At 53.2% G+C, this 6,087-nt stretch overlaps 1 annotated feature.

Annotated features, from left to right (window-relative positions):
* Window positions 469-634: a silencer, noted in NCBI's record as "fragment chr16:70238115-70238280 (GRCh37/hg19 assembly coordinates)". NCBI's record gives its function as "represses an EF-1alpha promoter that drives an FKBP-Casp9 reporter gene in an ReSE screen in K562 erythroleukemia cells {active_cell/tissue: K562}" and the evidence as "EXISTENCE:reporter gene assay evidence [ECO:0000049][PMID:32094911]".

The following is a 6,087-nucleotide window of genomic DNA, read 5'->3' as shown; positions in this document are numbered from 1 at the left end:
CTGGCCGGGCGGGGGGCTGACCCCCGACCTCCCTCCCGGATGGGGCAGCTGGCCAGGCAGGGGCTGACCACCCCCACCTCCCTCCCGGACGGGGTGGCTGCCGGGCAGAGACGCTCCTCACTTCCCAGATGGGGTGGCTGCCGGGCGGAGAGGCTCCTCACTTCTCAGACGGGGCAGCTGCCGGGCGGAGGGCCTCCTCACTTCTCAGACGGGGTGGTTGCCAGGCAGAGGGTCTCCTCACTTCTCAGACGGGGCGGCTGGGCAGAGACGCTCCTCACCTCCCAGACGGGGTCTCGGCCGGGCAGAGGCACTCCTCACATCCCAGATGGGGCGGCGGGGCAGAGGCGCTCCCCACATCTCAGACGATGGGCAGCCGGGCAGAGACGCTCCTCACTTCCTAGATGTGATGGCGGCTGGGAAGAGGCGCTCCTCACTTCCTAGATGGGATGGCTGCCGGGCGCAGACGCTCCTCACTTTCCAGACTGGGCAGCCAGGCAGAGAGGCTCCTCACATCCCAGACGATGGGCGGCCAGGCAGAGACGCTCCTCACTTCCCAGACGGGGTGGCGGCCGGGCAGAGGCTGCAATCTCGGCACCGTGGGAGGCCAAGGCAGGCGGCTGGGAGGTGTAGGTTGTAGCGAGCCGCGATCACGCCACTGCACTCCAGTCTGGGCACCATTGAGCACTGAGTGAACGAGACTCCGTCTGCAATCCTGGCACCTCGGGAGGCCAAGGCTGGCGGATCACTCGCGGTTAGGGGCTGGAGACCGGCCCGGCCAACACAGCGAAACCCCGTCTCCACCAAGACCAGTCAGGTGTGGCGGCGCGTGCCTGCAATCGCAGGCACTCGGCAGGCTGAGGCAGGAGAATCAGGCACGGAGGTTGCAGTGAGCCGAGATGGCAGCAGTACAGTCCAGCTTCGGCTCCGCATGAGAGGGAGACCGTGGGGAGAGTGAGAGGGAGAGTGAGAGGGAGAGGGAGAGGGAGAGGGAGAGGGAGAGGGAGACGGAGAGGGAGAGGGAGAGGGAGAGGGAGAGGGAGAGGGAGAGGGAGAGGGAGAGGGAGAGGGAGACGGAGAGGGAGAGGGAGAGGGAGACGGAGAGGGAGAGGGAGAGGCCCCCTTACATTTTTGCACGCAAGGCAAGTGCTTCACTGGAGTGTCTTCTTATTCCCCTTCCACCCTCTCCTCTTCCACCCTCCGTGGATGATAATCTCAAGACTCCTCCCTTAGCTACTCAGGAGGCCGAGGCAGAAAAATGACTGAAACCCAAGAGGCAGAGGTTGAGTAAGCTGAGAACAGGTCATTGCACTCAAGCCTGGGCAATAAGAAGAAATCTGTGGGTGGAACAAAAGAAAAAAATCAAAAAACAAAACAAAACCCACACTCCAAAAACAAACTAACAAAGAATAAATAAATAATATAAAAATAAAATAAATACTGCAGTCCTTATGTTATTGCTTTGTTTCAATATCTGGTATGATTGCCTGAGGGACCTGAGGTTTTTAATTGTAGGGTTTTTTTTTAGTCTTTAGAAGTGGTTGGTTATGTAAAATATTATTATTATTTTTTGAGACTGGGTTTTGCTCTGTCACCCAGGCTGGAGTGCAGTGGCTCGATCACAGCTCACTGCAGCCTCAGCCTCCTGGGCTTCAAGCAATCCTGCCTCAGCCTCCCAAGTAGCTGGGATCACAGATGTGTGCCACCATGCCTGGCCAATGTTAAAAAATCCTTTAACTTTTTTGTAGAGATGCACTCCTGGACTCAAGCGATCCTCCTACTGGTCCCAACCACCAGCCTCTTTCTGATAAACATTTACACTGTTTATTATCTGATGCCACTTCTATCTATCTTCTTCCTTGTCGTCCAGACATCAAAGAATTAGGTTTCTTCAGGGTTTTCTTTTTCAAGTCTTCATTGTTAAAGATCACTCACATTAGGGCCAGACACCACGACTCATGCCTGTAATCCCAGCACTTTGGGAGGCCGAGGCGGGCAGAGCACTTGAGGTGGGGAGTTTGAGACCAGCCCGGCCAACTTGGTGAAACCCCACCTCTACTGAAAAAAATACAAAAATTAGCTGGGCGTGATGGTGCATGCCTGTAGTCCCAGCCACTTGGGAGGCTGAGGCATGAGAATGGCTTGAACCCAGGAGGCAGAGGTTGTAGTGAGCCAAGATCACATCAGCACACTCTAGCCTGGGTGACAGAGCGAGACTCTGACTCAAAAAATAAATAAAATAAATATCACTTACATTAGATATACCCAAGGGGTGGTCTATAGAGAGTTGGAAGCAGTGGTTATTGCAACGGGCACGGAAGTCATCTGGCTATGCCAGGATGCCCAGGGGATACTCGGGGTGGGTGGCATGGTGGTGCTGGGGACTCACCGCACAGGACGCTCTGATTGACGCACTGCCAGGAGTAGCGCTCTGTCTTGGGGCTGCAGCCGGCCTCCTCAGCTCGAGTGTAACAACAGTCGTGGCCATGGCAGCACCTGCGGATGTCACATGGGCAGGACAGCAGGTGGGTGAAGCTCTCTCCTGGCCCTCCTCTGCTGCCAGGACCATGGGTGACTGAAGACCCCCAGGGAGGCACAGCATCCTCTAAGATTTTTTTTTTTTTTTTTTTTTTTTAAGAGACAGGGTCTTTCTCTGTCGCCCAGGCTGGAGTGCACAGGCACAATCATAGCTCACGGCAGCCTTGAACTCCTGGGCTCAAGCGATCCTCCCACTTCAGTGTCCCAAGTAGCTGAGACTACAGGCACACACCAGCATGCCCGGCTGGTTTTTTAATTTGTATTTCCTTTGAGACAGCGTATCTCTCTGTCACTCAGGCTGGAGTGCAATGGCTCAATCAGCTCACTTTAGCCTTGAACTCCCGGGCTCAAGTGATACTGCCACCTCAACCTCCCAAGTATGCTACTACAGGAACACAAACTCCTTTTTTAAATTTTTTGTGGATATGGGGTCTCACTATGTTGCCTAGGCTGGTCTCGAACTCCCAGGCGCAAGCAGTCCTCCTACCTCAGCCTCCCCAAATGCTGGGATTACAGGTGGGAGCTACTGTACGCCTGGCCTTATCTAAGCTGTTTCCCTGAAAATGCCCGTCTTGGGTAATGATTCCATTGGCCCCACCATGCCCTGTCCTGCCTTCCTGGCTGTGCCCAAGCTTGGTCCCTGCCTGCCTGCCTCACTCTCTCTCTGGGTCTCGAGCTCCTGTGACACGTGAGTCCTCTCTCTTCCTGGAGTGATCCAAGCCCTGCCACTTCCTGACTTTGCCCACACTGTACCCTCTGCCTGGGGCAACTTCATGTCTGCCCATTGTCCCTTAGGCCTCAGCCCAGGCACAAGCCCCTGCCTGCGGAGGTCATCCAGGCCTCACCAGGCTACACCCTCTCGTAAAATTGGATTCCCTCCCTTCAGGGCAGGTTTATAATGAAACCCTCCTCAGAGGCCAGCTGCGGTGACACCCATCTGTAATCCCAGCACTTTGGGAGGCTGAGGTGGGAGGATCACTTGAGGCCACGGGGTCGAGACCAGCCTGGGCAACATAAGAGAGACTCTTGTCTCTCTTGTCTCTATAACAAATTTAAAAATTAGCTCCCCAGGCCAGGCTCAGTGGCTCATGCCTGTAATCCCAACACTTTGAGAGGCCGAGGCAGGTGGATCATGAGGTCAGGAGTTCGAGAGCAGCCTGACCAACATGGCGAAACCCTGTCTCTACTAAAAATACAAAATTAGCCAGGCATGCTGGCACGCACCTGTAATCCCAGCTACTCGGGAGGCTGAGGCAGGAGAATCGCTTGAACCCAGGAGGTGGAGGTTGCGGTGAGCCAAGATCACGCCATTGCAGTCCAGCCTGAGCAACAGAGCAAGACTCTGTCTCGAGAAAATAAAAACACACAAAAAATTAACTCGCCATGATGGCACATGCCTATAGTCCTAGCTACTTGGGAGGCTGAGGTGGGAGGATTCCCTTCAGCCCAGGAGTTTGAGGCTGCAGTAAGCCACTATGATTGTGCCACTGCACTCTAACCTGGGCAAAAGCGAGACCCCAGGCCAGAGTGCATGATTTTGGGTCACTGCAACCTCCACCTCCCAGGTTCGAGTGATTCTCCTGCCTCAGCCTCTTGAGTAGCTGGGACTACAGGCATGTGCCACCACGCCTGGGTAATTTTTGTATTTTTAGTAGAGACAGGGTTTAGTAGAGACCATGGTGAAACCTCGTCTCTATTAAACAAATCTCTACTAACCCCATCTCTACAAAAAACAGCTGGGCATGGTAGTGCACACCTGTAATTCCAGCTACTTGGGAGGCTGAGGCACGAGAATCATTTGCATCTTGGAGGCAGAGTTTGCAGTGAGCTGAGATCGCACCACTGCACTCCAGCCGGGATGACAGAGCAAGACCCTGTCTCAAAAAAAAAAGAAAAAGGAACAAACAACAGCAACAACAACAAAAAAACCTCTGTGTCAATCACAGCCTTCGAGCTAGGGGAGAGGCGGCCGAATTCTGCCCTCTGCTGACGAGCTATAGCTTTGTGGAGATGGGTGAGTGGCATGCCCTTGTGAGCCTCAGGGTCCCATCTGTAAAATGGGCATAACTGTCATGCCCGTCTTTAAGAACAGCCTTGGGGGTAAATGAGTGGAAGTCATGGAAAGATCTCAGCCCACAACCTTCCACAGAACAGGCGCTTCTCACACAGGAAGTAGCAGGAGTGCAGAGGCTGCAGGCATGAATCCAGCCAGACTGCCTGGGTTCAAGTCCCAGCTCCCACGTCTTGGTAACTAAGTGGCCTCAGACAAGTTACTTAGTATTTCTTTTTTCTTTTTTTTTTTTCCAGACAGAGTTTTGCTCTGTCACCCAGGCTGGAGTGCAGTAGTGTGATCTCGGCTCACTGCAACCTCCGCCTCCCGGGTTCAAGCAGTTCTCCTGCCTCAGCTTCCTGAGTAGCTAGAATTACAGGCACCTGCCACCACACCCAGCTAATTTTTGTATTTTTAGTAGAGACGGGGTTTCACCATGTTGGCCAGGATGGTCTCGAACTCCTGACCTCGTGATCTGCCTGCCTCAGCCTCCCAAAATACTGGAATTACAGGCATGAGCCACCGCATCTGGACACGTTACTGAATATTTCTGTGCCTTGGTTTCTTTATCTGTGAAGTGGGATTGTTGTGAGAACGCAACGGGATTCCCAGGGCAGTTCCTAGTGCATAGTCTGGCTGCCTTTGTGTGTGTGTGTGTGTGTGTGTGTGTGTGTGTGTGTGTGTGTGTGTGTGTGTGTTTTTAATATAGAGACACCCTATCACCCTCCTGTCTCCACCACATCTTAGATGGGAAGGGAGAGTGTCCTGGATTAGCCGCAGGCGAAGCATGGGTCATCCCTTCATCTGCACAGGGCGCCAGTTCACATTAGCCTTTTATGAGCCACAGACCAAATCCTTCATCCAGATAAGGGGTAGCCAATAGAACCTCAAAAGCAGTACTTAAAACCCAGGAGGCTGGGTGCCATGGCTCGTGCCTGTAATCCCAGCACTTTGGGAGGCCGAGGTGGGCCGATTAACGAGGTCAGGAGTTCAAGACCAGCCTGTCCAACATGGTGAAACCCCATCTCTACAAAAAATATGAAAATTAGCCGGGCGTGGTGGGTACTTACCTGTAATCCCAGCTACTTGGGAGGCTGAGGCCAGAGAATCACTTGAACTCAGGAGGCGGAGATTGCAGTGAGCCAAGATCATGCCACTGCGCTCCAGCCTGGGTAAGAGACTTCTCAAAAATAATAATAATAAAAAAAATAAAATACAAAAACAAACTAACAAAACACCTAGGAAACTTTGTAACCAGGCTCTTGAGCCGCTTGCTTAGGCCCACTCCAGCCCTGCAGAGTGCTTTATCTGTTTCATAAATTCCTGCTTTCACTGCTTCCTTCCCATGTTTCATTGCTATGTTACTTTGTGGGTTTTGTTCAATTCTTTGTTCAAAATGCCAAGGTCCTGGACTGCTCACACTCACAGCCCTGCTTCCCGGAACAGGCCTGGCTGAGTTCCAGCTGTGCAGTGAAGCCCAACTGTGGGAGGCGGGGGACCCT

The sequence above is a fragment of the Homo sapiens genome, chromosome 16, assembly GCF_000001405.40.
Source record: "Homo sapiens chromosome 16, GRCh38.p14 Primary Assembly".
Lineage (NCBI taxonomy): Eukaryota > Metazoa > Chordata > Mammalia > Primates > Hominidae > Homo > Homo sapiens.
Note: the sequence above shows the minus strand (reverse complement) of the source record. Positions and strands in the feature narration are given on the sequence as shown.